General features: G+C 35.6%; 1 protein-coding gene across 2 annotated transcripts in view, besides 1 other annotated feature; it reads right to left on the bottom strand.

Moving 5' to 3' along the window:
• GPC5 (glypican 5) overlaps positions 1–16,456 on the bottom strand; it is a 1,468,617-nt gene that overhangs the window by 632,881 nt on the left and 819,280 nt on the right. The gene's annotated exons all lie outside the window — the stretch shown is intronic.
• Positions 15,144–15,645: an enhancer, noted in NCBI's record as "NANOG hESC enhancer chr13:92870965-92871466 (GRCh37/hg19 assembly coordinates)". NCBI's record gives its function as "activates a minimal SCP1, AML or CMV promoter by ChIP-STARR-seq in naive and primed H9 embryonic stem cells {active_cell/tissue: H9 hESC(naive and primed)}" and the evidence as "EXISTENCE:reporter gene assay evidence [ECO:0000049][PMID:30033119]".

The following is a 16,456-nucleotide window of genomic DNA, read 5'->3' as shown; positions in this document are numbered from 1 at the left end:
AGTTAGAATGGCAATCATTAAAAAGTCAGGAAACAACAGGTGCTGGAGAGGATGTGGAGAAAGAGGAACACTTTTACACTGTTGGTGGGACTGTAAACTAGTTCAACCATTGTGGAAGTCAGTGTGCTGATTCCTCAGGGATCTAGAACTAGAAACACCATTTGTCCCAGCAATCTCATTACTGGGTATATACCCAAAGGATTATAAATCATGCTGCTATAAAGACACATGCACATGTATGTTTATTGCAGCACTATTCACAATAGCAAAGACTTGGAACCAACCCAGATGTCCAACAATGATAGACTGGATTAAGAAAATGTGGCACATATACACCATGGAATACTATGCAGCCATAAAAAATGACGAGTTCATGTCCTTTGTAGGGACATAGATGAAGCTGGAAACCATCATTCTCAGCAAACTATCGCAAGGACAAAAAACCAAACACCAGATGTTCTCACTCATAGGTGGGAATTGAACAATGAGAACACATGGACACAGGAAGGGGAACATCACACACCGGGGACTGTTGTGGGGTGGGGGGAGTGGGGAGGGATAGCATTTGGAGATATACCTAATGTTAAATGACGAGTTAATGGGTACAGCACACCAACACGGCACATGTATACATATGTAACTCATCTGCACGTTGTGCACATGTACCCTAAAACTTAAAGTATAATAAAAATAAATAAATAAAAAGTAACATCCAGCATAAAAAAAATTAACAAACATAATGGTAATGAAAGAATAATGCATATAGCACCACATCAGATACATATTGTATGATTTTTCCTTTTATTCTGTCTTATGTCAACTTAATTCTTAGACCCAGCCAAAGATCCTAAGGAGGTAGAAAGAGAATATATTCTTCTCCCCAACAGCTTATTTGTTCCTATTTTAAAATATTATCCAGATTTTCTGCCAGCCTGCAAATTATCAAGTCAGCCCCATCCGATGACCTAGTGTTTGCATTGTTAAGTCTCAATACACAGATATTTCAAATGCTTACTCTTAAAGTGTGAAATGCTGAAAACTGCAGGAAAATGGCAAAACCTTTTAATTGCTACAAACTTTGTTTTATACAGTAGAATCATGTACTTGGTGACAGCAACAATTTTCATCTCTTCCTATACATTCAATTTCATAATTAAATTTGTTGCTATAAGGCAGGTTCACCATTTAAAGATTTCTTTCTGACGTGGTGCCACAGGCATTGTTCTTTTATTACTTTGAAACGAGTTGATGACCAAGTGTAAAAGCATTTTGTAGCCAGAGTGGCAATAAAGCAATAATCTGGAGATAGCCCAAAAGATTACATGGCAGCTACAAAGAGTGGCCGACATTCACATATGATAGAAATGCTCGATTTTGTTCAAGTAATTTTTGAAAGAACACCATTCATATACACTAAGAAGTTCTTTGGGTCAAGTTGAAGATTCTCTTGAAAACTGCTTCAATACTCTTGCTTGAATCGTCAAAAAAAATGCGGAAGATTGGATAACTGCTACAATTATAGTTTTAACATGATATGTTTAGATTAGAGAAGGTATATCTCACAAATTACGGTATGTTTAATAGGGGGAAAGCTTAGATTAGATCCACTAATCATGAAAAACTTCTACCTTAGAAATATTTTTACAGTCACCAAAGTCTTTTTAGTAGTACTCTATTTCAGGCTACAAATCCATGGGATGCCTCTATCCTTCTGATTTAACTTTATAGTCAGTTCAACACTTTCTTTTAGAGGAATATCATAGAATTTAAAACAATTTCTGTTAAGAAAACTGTAATATGAGTCTGGTATACCAATACATATCCATTAGTAAGTGGTAACAGATGATCTGCCAGACATGAGAAATATTACTGACCCTAGCCAGCCTTAGTTGAAAACATTTAACATTCCTTTATTCAACTTTAAGGATGTAAAGATGCTATATGGTTTTTGAAGAAAAGAAAATACGCTTGTAATATTCCTGGTGGCCTGTTTGTAAACTAAAATTTAAAACATAGTAATTTGACTTATTGCACAGAACTTAATTATCCCAATAACAGCCGCCCCCACACCCCCACCCCACCACGCAGACTAATTTCAGATTTTGTGCTTCTGTAAAATTGGACAATATGGACATGCCAATAATACTGCTGAAATAGAGTAGACTGGATGGAAAAAACGATTCTTATTTTTATTATTTTTATTTCTATAATTAACTAGGAAGTTATCAAAGGTAAACCAGTACTGCCTGCCACATCAGATTCTATCAGAATAGTTTATAATAATAAGGTGCTAACATTAAGATTTCTTTATTACATCAAGAACAAGATAGGTGCCACAACTTTAGTCACAGGGAATTTCCATGTTTTTGTTTTTGTTTTGTTTTGTTTTTTGAGATGGAGTTTCGCTCTTCTGCCCAGACTGGAATGCAGTGGCGCGATCTCGGCTCACTGCAACCTCCACCTTCCGGTTTCAAGCGATTCTCCTGCCTCAGCCTCCCGAGCAGCTGGGATTACAGCTGCCCATCACCACGCCCAGCTAATTTTTGTATTTTTAGTAGAGATGGGGTTTCACCATGTTGGCCCGGCTGGTCTCAAACTCCTGATCTCGTGATCTGCCCACCTCAGCTTCCCAAAGTGCTGGGATTACAGGCGTAAGCCACCTTGCCTGGCTGTCATTGGGAATTTCTACTTTGCATTCTGGTTTTTGTTTTTTCTTTTAATCAGACAAAGCCTAGAAGAATATGTATATCTGGATCTGTATATTTCAACAGGTAGTTAAAATGGGAGATGACGACTAGTTTTAATTCTAAACCTTTTAACTTCTTAATGATAGAGTTAAATTCATCTCAAGAGGAATTTCTGAGGGATTCTTTAGGGGTCTCTGCATCTATCAGTGGACTGACAGGTGTCCTCCAAACAATTAGGACTAATTAGCATTTTGTTGACTATATTGAATTGGGAGCACTGCAAAAAACACTGAATGGCCGTATAAATGATTATCTCACCCTTGGAATTTTCTTTGCCAAAAGAGAGATAACATGCACTGTGGAGAAGCATGAAAAAGGGAAAATGGCTTTATTCCATGATGATTGTCTTGAGTTTACCTCTTGTAAGGAAGACAAAACATTATATCAAATTGTGTTTGATTCAGACTAGAATCCCATCTGTGGCAGCTACCATATACTGAGAATCTGTTTTAAATCCTTTACATGACTTACCTGGTAGCCTCAGAAAAATCTTACAACATACACACATATTTACCCATAAGAAGCTGATATTTGACAGGATGATTAACTTACCTAAAGTCACAGAAAGAGCAAAGCCCAACCCTTGGCTATCTTACTGCAAAGCGCTTTGCTCTTCCATGACACCTTGCTGCCTTTGCATTTATCCTGTATTTTCTAAGGACAATTTATTTATTGAAGATTTTATTTATGAAAATGGAATATCCTAATGAATTATATGGTAATTAATTTTCTTATTTCTAACTTTATGAAAAATCCTACCTTTACATTTATTTTTATGAATCAATGTAATTTTGAGAATCTGCTATGTGCCAATCAGTGCACCAGGTAGGCCCTAAGAAAACAGGGTAATTAAAACAGGCCCTGCTCTCAAAGGAATAATTGGCAGTATATATTTATGTAAATTTTTAAATCTATTTCTGATTATTTGTACTAATTATCAAGCTATATCTCGAGTTTGCTACAGTTATGGAAAGTTAATTGACTTAGTGGATTATTAATAAACGCAGGGTCTAAGTTACTTCTGATTTTGAAATTTTGAGAGAAAATAAGGAAAAGATTATCACAGATTGCAGAAATCTCAGTATTAAAATTTGTCAAGAAGTAGATTTGGTGATAGCAAAAAGAGAAGATTTTATAAAAATTATCCTGAAATTATTTCAGTGTTGATTATTTAAATTTGTATTTGTTAATAGTACGTTACACAGATATTCTCCTCAAAACAAATTGGTAGTAACCAGTATTACATACAATATGACTACCTTTATCTTTAACTTTTAAAAGAAATCACAGATTGCATCGTAGTTCTAGCACAACACTGAAGATATACAACTTACTATTAAGGTTGCTATATTTTATTGTAAAAAGTCAATTTATATGAGAACATATTTTATAATTTTGGCTTTGTAGATAAGAGTAATGGAGATATTAAGCCAGTGCATATGACTTGCAAAGCTGTTACCTCCCTGGTCTAGTTATTTCACACAAGACCACATCTGCTCTGGACCTGATGATCAATGACCTTTTGTTTTTTCTTTCTCTTTTAGACAAATGTATCAGTTCAAAACGCAGTTTAGTTTAGAAATAAAATTGTTTTCATTTATAGTGCTCTATCTTCAGAGGTATTAGCATATCAAAAGCTAATAATTAGATTTTAATAATTAAATTCCATCTTAATATAAATTTGTTTTTAAAATGCTTTAGGGGAAAAAGAGTAAGAGAGACTATTTTTTAAAAAGTGTCAAGTGGCACCTACACCAACTTGCCTTTGGAAACTACAAGAGTTTTTAAGGCCATGAAGATAGTTATATGAAATATCTCTACTATTTATGCCATAATATTTTATTATATATTAACTTTTCTGTATCTCTGAAAAATTAAAAAGCAACTTTTGGAAGCCCCCAAATTATAATAAAATGTGGTTTCGGCTGAATTATACACAAGAGGCTGACATTATGGCCAGGCAGCTCAAAGCAGGCTGACATGACAAGAAAGCTATAAACAACATTCTCTGAAATTATTTAGAATAGTCCACATTGATTTCATCATAATGCAAAAATTTCTGGAACAATAACCTTCATTTCAGCTTTCCTTTCTCAGAAGCTCAACCTAAAAATATATGCTTTATTTACAATCAAGATTTTATTAGGAATATTAAGTATAGATATTGGCAACATAAATCCAAAATAATTTTTGTAAGAGACTAATATTTTTGTTCCATCTCTCAATTAACCCAGTTAAAAATATATCAGTATACTTTTCTATGACAGATTAAAAATAAGATAAAGTAACACTTTACCTTTTCTCATCAATACAGTATTTCAATTTTAAAATTATTATGAGTATTTCATATAGTTAGTTCAATGAATCAAATAATGACCTATGATTTTTAAAAAAGAAATTCCAGCCACACACTTTGTACCTCACTTCCCCACTTAACATCTTTAACACTTCCCCTTTCCTCAGAGCCTAATGTAGGGTTATTATAATTTTTAAATTAAGTCAGTGGTCAAAGTTTACATTTTCACAACTATGTACATACTGCTCACTGCTGAGCCATATAGTCTATCACTTTTTCTTTCTTGTGCAAATTTGTGTTTTGCTATTGATTTTGAACTTGTTTTAAAATTTATATCATTCTTGTGATATATATAATCATTATTTTTTCCAAATGTATTAAAAAACTTCCAAACCTATCAATATCATCAAAATGGTCATTAAATACAAAGCTAAACCTTTGTTACCTTCCCTGGTTACCTCCCTTGGAGTTAACATTATCCTGGGACCATGCTTGGTTATTTTCCAGTGATGAATTCCCAAGTTCTTTCTTTTCTTTTAGTTCTGTGTGTGTTTGTGTGTGTGTATGTATGCATAGTCTCTAGTCAGTTCCTAAGAAATGATAATTAAAAGAAAATGTGATGCTTTTTATCTCTGACATGTCTTTATCTTATTCCATCTTTAATAGATAAATTAAATGGGTATAGATTTCTAATTCAAGATCATCTTCCTTAGGATTTTTGAAGTTATTTCTCTACTGAGTGGACATATGAAAAGCACTTGAAACCAAATTCTCACATACTTTACTTTTGGGATATGTTTAGTATTTCCTAGATAATTCGTGTAACTTTTTTTCTTAATTTTATTAAAATTCTTAAGACTATTAAATGTGTAAAGGACCTCTTGAATGTATCCTCAAAGATCTACATTTTTTATAAATGTTTATGTGACTTTACCTTAGTCTCCCATTGCATTTGTGGTATTTCAAAATATTACAATAATTTTACTTTTATTTCTTTTTATTTATATTTTTGTTTTATATAAGTATTGGTTTCATTCAACTCTTTGGAGAAATCAACTGTATAGCTGGCTCGTGAACAACACGGGTTCATTGATACCGAGATTTTTTTTTCAACAAAAGTTACACCAAGTGTGCCTGCCTCTCCTTCTTCGCCTTCCATCTTCTCCATCTCTTATGCCTCTGCCACTCCTAAAACAGGAAGACCAATCCATCTTCTTCCTCCTCCTCCTCAGCCTACTCAACGTGAAGACAAGGATGAAGATCTTTATGACGATCCACTTTATGAAAAGTAAATACATTTTTCTCTTATGACTTTTAAATAATATATTTTCTCTAGCTTAGTTTATTGGAAGTATACAATACATAATACATATGACACACAAAATGTGTTAATCAAATTTATGGTATTGGTAAGGCTTCTGCTCAACAGTAGGCTATCAGTAGTTAAGTTCTGTGGAAGTCAAAAATTATACCTTATTTATTACCTATTGTACCACTGTGTGAAAACATCACATGCCCCTCATAAGTATATACAATTATTAGCCACAAGCATTAAAAATTAAGAAAAAAATTAAGTTATACATGAATTTTTTTTACTGTGTTGGGGTTGGGGGCACCAATATAGTTCAAGGGTGAACTATATTACCTCTAGTATTTGTTTTCATTTTTGCTTTGGCATTTTCTTCTACTTTATTATATTGGTTATTACCAAGTTTCGTTTTTCTGTCTCTTTTGATAACTGTCTTTCACATGATAGCTTTCCTCAGATTCCTGGTGATCTTTGGCTCTGTTTACATTTAAGAAAGGAGACCATAATAGATAATGACACACCCTTGACGAGACAGGAACTTGTAGACTGACAGCTTTACTGAAGGGGACACTGAGTTAGGCAATGTTTCCTTCTGCGAAATACCATGTCACTTTCTGGAGAACTATTCTTTGGGGCCCTCTAGATTATCTGGGGAATATTCACCTAATCCTATGGCCACATTGGGTGGCTGTTTTTTTGTTTGCGTTTTTCAATGGCTGGCTGCAGGTCACTGGTAAGCAAAGCAAAGAAAGGGGCCTGGAAAGCAATGTTCAATCTGTAGACATTAAATCACTCTACCAAGTGGTAGATTTACTTTCACCCTCCACTTTGGTATTTCCGTGTCCAGAGACTTTACTATTCAATGTTTTCACACAGACACAAGATTCCTCCTCTGTTTCAGAAAGGGGCAGAAGGAAGACAAGGAAAGTATTTGCCTGTTTACTCAAGGCTGAGGAGGAGACCTGGATTTTAATGTCTCAGTGTACTGACTTTCAACAGTTTCTATTGCTTGTAGGTTTCCAAGGTAACTGGCCCCAGTTCAGGGACTTTCTGGGGTCTTCTAGTTGAGCATACGGGTTACTTCTATTAAAGTTCTGCTTGTTGCAGCCAGGTACGGTGGCTCACGCCTGCAATCGCAGGACTTTGGGAGGCTGAGGCAGATGGATCGCCTGAGATCACAAGTTTGAGACCAGCCTGGCCAACATAGTGAAAACCCATCTCTACTAAAAATGCAAAAAATCAGCTGGGTGTGATGGCCAGCGCCTGTAATCCCAGCTGCTCGGGAGACTGGGGAAGGAGAATCGCTTGAACCCAGGAGGCAGAGGTGGCAGTGACCGAGATCAGTGAGTGAAACTCCACCTCAAAAAAAAAAAGAAAAAAAGAAAAAAAAAAGTTCTGCTTGTTTCTCAGTCACTACTCTGAGTCTCTCATATGCTCTGTTCCCATTGTGTTTTTCATTTTACTTCTTGGTCAACTGTGTACCATTTTTGTGTGCTTTTCAGGAGTTAGAAGAAGATAAATTATGTCTGACTAGTCTGCCATAATTACTCAAAAGTTGTAGTATTAAAGTTGTAGGTGTATAACTAATTGAGCAAATAACCATATAAAGAAGAATCTCTGAAAATGTTAACATGGAGAAAGGATATATATCCAGACACACGATTGTTGTTCTCTTATATACTCCCTTGACAATTCTGTCAAAGTTTAAATAAAAATGAACTGGAATGTATTAGTGTGTTTTCACACTGCTATAAACTCCCCGAGACTGGGTAATGTATAAAGAAAAGTGATTTAATTGACTCACAGTTCTGCATGGCTGGGGTGGACTCATGAAACTTACAATCATGGTGGAAGGCAAAGGGGAAGCAAGGCACATATTACTTTGTGGCAGGAGAGAGAGAGCAAGAGGGGAAGTGCCACACTCTTAAGCCATCAGATCTTGTGAGAACTCATTTTCCTGATAACAGCAAGGGGAAATCCACCTCCATGATCCAATCACCTCCCACTAGGCCTCTCCTCTGACAAGTGGGGTTTAGAATTCAAGATAAGATTTAGGTGGGGACACAGAGCCAAACCATATCAGGAACTGATGGTTCTCCATGTTTTCTTTATTTTTGGAATTTTATTCAGGATCTTGACGTTCAGCTAATGCCTCATAGTTACCAGTTAGAGTGGAGGAATTTTCAAAGAAATAAAGAAAAAAAAGACATAAAACTGGGCCTTTGAAAAAGTTTATAAAGGGCATTTTTTTTTTGGAAGAATTTAAGATTGGCTTTAGAACTCTAACTTGAGTTCATATTATGATGCATGTACAAATTCATGCATATATATTTGAAAAATAATTCGATTCTCTGGAGTAAGCTTTGCTCCCTTTTATATGTATCCAGAAAGCTGGCAAAAGCTCATGTATGTTATTTCAGGTCAATTAATCACAATTATTGGACTGCATTAATCATTTATAAAAGACTAAATTGCTTAAAATTCAACTGCTATATTTTCAACACTTCCCCTCAGATATTCTAAGTTTTTGTATAGCTCCTGAGGTCAGACGGAAATTACAAAGTCACATCTATTTTAATGGCATTCTTATCAAAAACCACTTAATGTGGTATATGCACTTTCACTGAACTCAAAGGCATAAGCCATTCAGAAACCAAGCAGCTCTGGGTGGCACAAAAACAATAAAACAATTCTACACATTCAAATAGCTTAAAATGAAATAGAAGAGGTGATGTGCATACACAACTATAATATAAGGTCGATTAATGCCATAAATTAATCAAACTGAATAATTCAGATAATCAAAGTCAAGATATTCCAGAGCCATTTCCAGCCAGGAACAATAAGGAAATCAGGGATCATCTTGAGCAAGGTTTCATCCTGGCCAAGCACTGAAAAGTTACTCAATAGGCTATGGGGCAACAGGTGGTATGGGGCTAGGAAACCATGTCAGCAAAGGTATAGAAGATGGAAAGTGAAACTGACAAAACTAGCTTCTAAGGATAGTGCTGTGCCATGGGTCCCAAGACTGCCTCCAGGCTTGGTGATTTGCTAGGACTATAGGACTCAGTATACAGCTGTACTCATAGTGATGATATATTACTGCAACAAACCTAAAAAGTAAAAATCAGTAAAGAGAAAAGGTACATGAGGCAAAGTCTGTAAGAAACCAGGCACAAGCTTCTAAGAGTCCTCTTCTGGGAGAGCCACAAAGGATGTGCTAATTCCTCCAGCACTCGAATTTGGACAACATGTGTGAAATATTATCTACAAGGGAAGCTTGCCTAAGCCTATGAGTCAAGGTTGTGGTTGTGGAACTGTCATTTAGACACCCTCTGCCTAGTACATACCCAAATTCCAGACTATCTGAAAATGAAAAACAAAAAAGCAGATGTTCAGCATAAACCACAATGTTTGTACAAGTAGTTTTGGTGAGTGAGCCACTCTTATCAGCTTTGGGAATGGTGGACCCTATTGAAATCCGTTAACAGAAGACAGGCAAGGGCCAGCCTTGCAGGCAGGCCTGTTTCTGAGGACAGCAGTCTCAGGCCTGCTGTGTTAATTCTCGTTTGTACAATTACTAACTACAGAATACAGTTGAGAGTTACAAATCCAAAAGTTTCCTGAAGCTTTAAATCTTATCTAGTTTTGATACAACTTTGAAGAATTGACAAGAAAACTTCCTGTTCCGCCACAATAGAATTACCTAAGGCTTCATTTATTATTCTCCGTTGTTCTAAGGAGAAGAGAGAGGTTGGTTCAACAATAACATTACCAATGTTATTGCTATTCTGATGGCCTGACTAGTACATTCAGTTTACTTTTGTATTAGCTTTTCTTTAATAGTGCAGAAAGTTCTTTTAGAGTTCAGGTTTTTCTTTAAACAATAATTCTAAGTCACCATAATCTTTCATTTATGCATTGTGTTTTGTTTCAAATAAGAAAACAGTTTTTATAGTGTTGTTAAAACAGGGTTTGATCAAGTTTCAACATGCGTGTATACTAGATGCTTATTTTTTCAACATGCCATAAATTGCTTCACTAATACATTTCTGTTTTGCTCATTTATTTCCTCTTATATTCTTGGAATGAGAATTCATGCACAAATTTCATGCAAAATGCTTCTCAGCGGTAAGGCCAAGCTGAAAATGAAATGCCCTTTACAAAACATTTTGTTGACTTAAGAAGGTTTTATTGTTATTTGCTTTTTGTTCCTTAAAAGTTTGATCTTTTATGAACTGCAAATATGCTATTATCAAAGCCAGCTTTTGTTAAATATAAAAAAGCTAGTTTCTTACAAACTTATCCTTTTATCCCAATTTTTACCACCACCCTGAGTCATAATTATACTAAGTGAAGCATCCAAAGGTTTTGAAAAAAAAAAATCAATGAGGTTTCATCTTTTTATATCATATGCTGATCACTTGAAACATACTTTCTATCATAAGAAATATAACCCAATTGTAGAAGTTGTATTTTTGCAAACAAATGGTGAGTAAAGCAAACTATAAAAAATAGTACACAAAAGCAGCATTATTTCCCTAAATAGCTAGTTATAAATTGTTCTGCTGATAGAAGACCCCTGAAGCTTTTTAAGGATAAAGTTCTGTCACTAATAATAAAGCACAACTGTGAAAGAATGGTTGAACCCGATGTTAAATCAAATTTATTTTATCTCCAGAATAGGGTGGGAATATTTTCAGCTAAAATTACTAGGGTGTAGCTAACATGATTATCATTTCCATGTGTTAAACAGCAGAGTAAGAAGCCTTTCAAGTTTCCTAAGTCCAACTTCCATAAAACAGAATTGCTTTGAGGTCAAGTGTAAACTCGTTTATGCTATTAATATTCATCGTAAAAGAAAATTGTCATTTTTTTAGGTTCAGCAATAGGTTCTAATTGTCACATTTCCTGTAAAAATAAATGATCTCTTATGAACAAAGAAAAAATGTGGATGAAATAAAATTATATTCGGGATTATAGTCCTCATAAAAAATCTATAAATACTACCCCATAAAATATTTTTCAATAAACCTAAAACAACTTAATTTTGTATACAGCATGAAAACATATTCTGCAGCCCAATAGCTGGTACATACTGATATTTGCCATCAAACTATTATAATTTATTTGTTGAATGAATACATGCTAATTTTGTCATAAAAATGCTAAATGTTATATTTGAGAAATGATTTTAAACTATTAATTAGCAATGCTATTAATATTTGAAATTCTTGAAATCCTATGAGAATAACTGAGAAACACTTAAAATAAAATATTCTTAAATCGGGGCGTATTATCCAACTAGGATCAAATCATGAAAGAAAATAAGGGAGGATTACAGAAAAGAACCACACACACACCCCAAAGAAAAACAAAGGTGGAGACACAAAGACATTCCTGACAAATCTTAAGGATGGCAAGAAAAAATACAACAGTGAAAGAAATAGAAGAAATTGTTTTGTGTCTGTGCGAACTTGCTTCACTTCTTAGTTTTCCTCTAATGTTCCTGATAGTTTTGAATTATCACTTTCTTCTTTGACCATCTGTTGTCTCTGCTTCAGTGTTTTTTCTTAATTTACTGTAATTAAACTTCTCTAATTTCTATCGTCTCAGTTTATGTGCATCTCTGTGTTTAATCAACAATTTCAGATGCATCAAATAAGTAGTACAATCACTCAACTGTAAAAACAATTTTAAGGTGTTTTTATAACCAGTTATTTAGTGTTATTTTTGCCTCCCATCTTCCCCTTTTTAACCTGGTGGGTTCAGTGACGACAATAGTCTGGTCCTCCTGTGCTCTGAGGGCTTTTGTCACCCTGTGACACAGTGGCACATGATGCCTACAGATTATAGAATTGATCGGAGATACCGCAGGAAGATAACTACTTTGGTACAAAGGAAGTGCTGCTACACTGCACAGATTAGTCCTGGGAAAACAAAAAGAGATAAGAAAGTTCCCACCAGCAAAAGGTCAAGAATCCAACTCATTCACACCCAACACTCAAATATCATGCAATTCGTAAAATGTCTCTGCTTAACTGCTGTTAAAGTTAGATTATAACTGTATAATACTAACAGTAGAAAGTCTATTATATTGTCCAAGTTTATAATTTAAATGTATATTGTCATTTTTCTCTAGGGAGTTTAAAGAGATATATCTTATTAGCAAGAACGTAATTGTTCTTGAGTCGTACGAAAAAATGCAGAGGGAGCCTGAGAGCTGGATTCTAGTGATTCTTTACAATGAAGAAAGGTTGCATTGCACTTAATGGAAAAAAAATAGGAAAAACATGGATATTGTTGGCGTGCACTTTGCGCAAGAAGAATAAGCAGAAAAGGTTTGATTCTGGGGTATCATTTGTGGACAGAACTTTAGGGTTTAAATGGCCTCCAGATCCCCACCAAATGCCTATGCCAGTGGGAGCAAAATTGAAGTCATGGGAGCTTAGGGAGAGGAAGTGGCCCATGTGGGAGAGGGTGTTGGGAAAACATAGGATCCTGTCTTGATAAACTGACTTTCATCTCTACAATTCCTAACTCTACTTTGAGGAATATGCCAGAGCCCAAACTAATAAATTTAACAACACTATGATTGCTGAGAAGAGAGAGGGCTTATTTTATTCAGCTTTATAGTAATGCCTCTTAGCATCAACACCATACACTGTATATGATAAGACAAAGCAATAGAAAGTTGGATGAACTATAGCGTATTTTCAGAAAACGCTCAGTCTGATTGGCCAAAATAATGGAAACATTCTAAGAAATTAGATAGCATTCTACCCTTGGATAGTCACAAAATTAATTATTTCCCAATTGTAAATTGACCCTAGCAGTATAGGGCAGAAGTTTATTAACTAGCAAGTCCTCTGAGACAGACATCAGGGACTTCTAGCTTTTGCCATGAGTTGAGTGACCACCCCTCTCCTGTTTGAGCAGAAGGCTGGGTGTTTTCTATCCAGACAGGTTGAACCACAAACGCTCTGAACTGAGGTACATCCCTCCCCAAACAGAGGAAATGGGAGTCTTTCTCTCTGGGGAAATACACAACCTCCACCCCTCACAAAAAAGGCTTATGAACAGTGACATTAAAGAGTCTACAACAGAAATATCAACATATGAACAATCAAAAACCCATGTAAACAGAGATTTTTGATCAATTTTAGTGTCCAATTTTTATATATGAATAAATGTATTACCAGACATGAAAAGAAAGTCATTATCATTAAAGATAGAAACTCAAAGTAAGATGACAAATGAATTAATGGGAAACAATGAAAATGCAAGAAGTTGAATAAACTTCCTTCAAAATTAATATCTTAAAAGATACACAAATGCTAGACAATAAGTGAATCAGATAGGAAAAAATATTATTTTCTCAATATGTTATTTAAAAATCACAGTCTCTAAATTTGCCTTTCCTGTTGCCTGTATAGTTAAGTTTACTTCCCGATAGTATCCTAGTATACACTTTGAAAATTGCTATCTGTATCTTTGACCTGCCTAGACTTATATTGATTCACTTAATCTTTGTTACAACTCTGTAAATAGATTTTACGCCCAACTTACAGATGAAGAAACTGAGGCATGGAGAGGCTGGGCAAATTCCTAAGGTCAGTGAGTTGCTAACTTTGCAAAAACCAGTGTTTTAACTCAAACATGGTTTCAGATTATCTGTTCTTAGACACTTGTTCTGCTGCCACCCCAATAAAATGTAAACCCCTTAGGGCAGGATTTTTTTTTATCTTTTCTCTTATATATCCAGTACCCAGAAGAGTGGCTACACTAGAGGCTGGTGCTCAAGTATTTATTTATTCAATAAGTAAGGAAAGCAAAAAGAAAAGCACAAAGTATTTACACAGAACACTACTGCATTGAACTGTGAATATTTATATAATTGTAAAAATGTAAACATCAATTATTAATTTAAGCAAAAACTGTCATAATTATAGTGTTACCAGTGGAGGCTGTCCAGGTTCTTGGCAACTTGAACAAAGAATTGGACAAAAAGCACAAACAAAGCAAGGAAAGAATGAAGCAACAAAAGTAGAGATTTATCAAAAATGAAAGTACACACCACCAGGTGGGAGTGGGCCAAGCATAGGGGCTTAAGGAGCCTGATTACAGATTTTCTGGGGTTTAAAAACCCTCTAGAGGTTTCTGATTGGTCACTTGCTTTACACTCTATGTAAATAAAGTAGTGGTCCACAATCAGTCTGATTGGTTGCAGGAGGGGATCAGTCAGAGGCTGAAGCAAAGGTACAAAGTTATACCCTATGCAAACATCTGATTGGTTGTGGAAGGTGACCAATCAGAAGCTAAAGTCAAGTTATACAGTTATACTCCTATGCAAATGAAGACTTGGCCCAGGAGCAGCCTGACTGACTGAGGGAGGGGACAAATGAGAGATACTTTCAATTTCTCATCTGCCATGCAAAAAAAATGGGGGAGGGGGTTGAAAAGGGAGTAGCTTCTGATCCTTGTGTTACTTGGGTGTGGAAAGTAGGGGTTTTCCTTTTGATTTCGTTCTAGGAAGCCAGTGCGAATCGGCCTTAGCTTCCCTGCCTCCAGACCTTTTCTCCTGCCTCAATAGTGGTGTGATGTGGAGAGAGGCAATATGTATGCAGGAATAAGGTAAGAGATCTAAACCCTACACTATAGTAGGAAGGCAGTAGAAAGTGATATAATTGGAAAAATCCAGATATAATGGTATTTTAAGGCTTGTTATTTAAAAATATGGAGGTGAATGCCAGAAGAAACAAAAACATTCAGAAGAATGAGCCTCTTTGCCTCTGATCTAGTAAGTGACACAGTGGGTAGGGATAAGCTATTCCCAAAATGAAGCAGCCTCTCCATCCAGGATGGTTGAACTGGAGAGTCCAAACCCCATACTCAACACAATGGGAGAAAACAGGAGGAAAGCACATAGAAACAGACTGCTTCTCACGGAATGTTGGGATGATTAAAATCAATAGTCATGGAAAGTAGAAGATTATCCATTTATTATGAGCACACTTCCTTTAACGTTGGGCCTGAGGATGATATAATTTTATTGTGGTTTTCAAAGTCAGAGTTAATTTCTGGTTCCAGGTTCTGCCCCCAAAGAGATAGCAAACAAAATTAACAAACTGCTTTAGTGTTCCTGAGAGGTTTTTGCCTAAGGATTGCCTTTCTAATTAAGCCCTCCAACTCTTTAACATGCTAATTTTATCCCTTAGCTTGGAGATGAAGTGGCTTCAGCCGTTATCTGTGAATCACACTACTGGGCTTGATCTACAATTTCGGGAAAGCTGGATTTGAAAAAAATGTTGCTGATTTTTATTAGAGAAACTTAGGTTCTCATACAGCACCAAATTTTTCTAGTGAAGGCGGTTGGGATTTTTATGGACCTTTAAGGTAAAGAAGATTAAAGGAATTCAACAGTGAAGCAGGGGGAGGGGACAAAGGGGCTGAACTGGGTGAAAGAGGAGGTACAAATTCTCTGGAGCACATTTCTGAGTCTTCAGCCTTGAAGGGCATATCATAAAGTGAAGGGAAAACTTTTTTCTTTCTTAATTTTAAAATTAGGGAAAGTTCTAGAAATATTACCTAAAGTAACATCACTTGACCATGTACGTCCAGAAACTAGATGGAAGTGAATGAAGAAATAAAATAGCAAAAGGGAAACTAATCTTACAGAGAATTAAATTCTACTTCCACTAAGTTCATGTAAAGATGAATCCATTTCTTTACAACTTAGGATTCTGAACCTCCAGACATGTCAATTTCTGTTTGGTATAAATTAGGGTAAAGTGAGCAACTGTAGTCCCAGCACTTTGGGAGGCCAAGGGGAGAGGATTGCTTGAGGCCAGGAGTTCAAGACCAACCTGGGCAACATAGCAAGACGCCATCTCTACTAAATTTTTTTTTAAAAATTAGTCAGCCATGGTGGCATATTCCTGTAGTTCTAGCTACTCAGGAGGCTGAGGCAGGAGGACCGCTGGAGCCCAAGAATTAGAGCTCAAGGCTGAAGTGAGTCAAGATCACACCACTGCACTCCAGTCTGGATGACAGAGTGTGACCCTGCCTAAAAAAAAAAAAAAAAAAAAAAAAAGTAGAAATAAT

Source organism: Homo sapiens, chromosome 13 (genome assembly GCF_000001405.40).
Source record: "Homo sapiens chromosome 13, GRCh38.p14 Primary Assembly".
NCBI lineage: Eukaryota > Metazoa > Chordata > Mammalia > Primates > Hominidae > Homo > Homo sapiens.
Note: the sequence above shows the minus strand (reverse complement) of the source record. Positions and strands in the feature narration are given on the sequence as shown.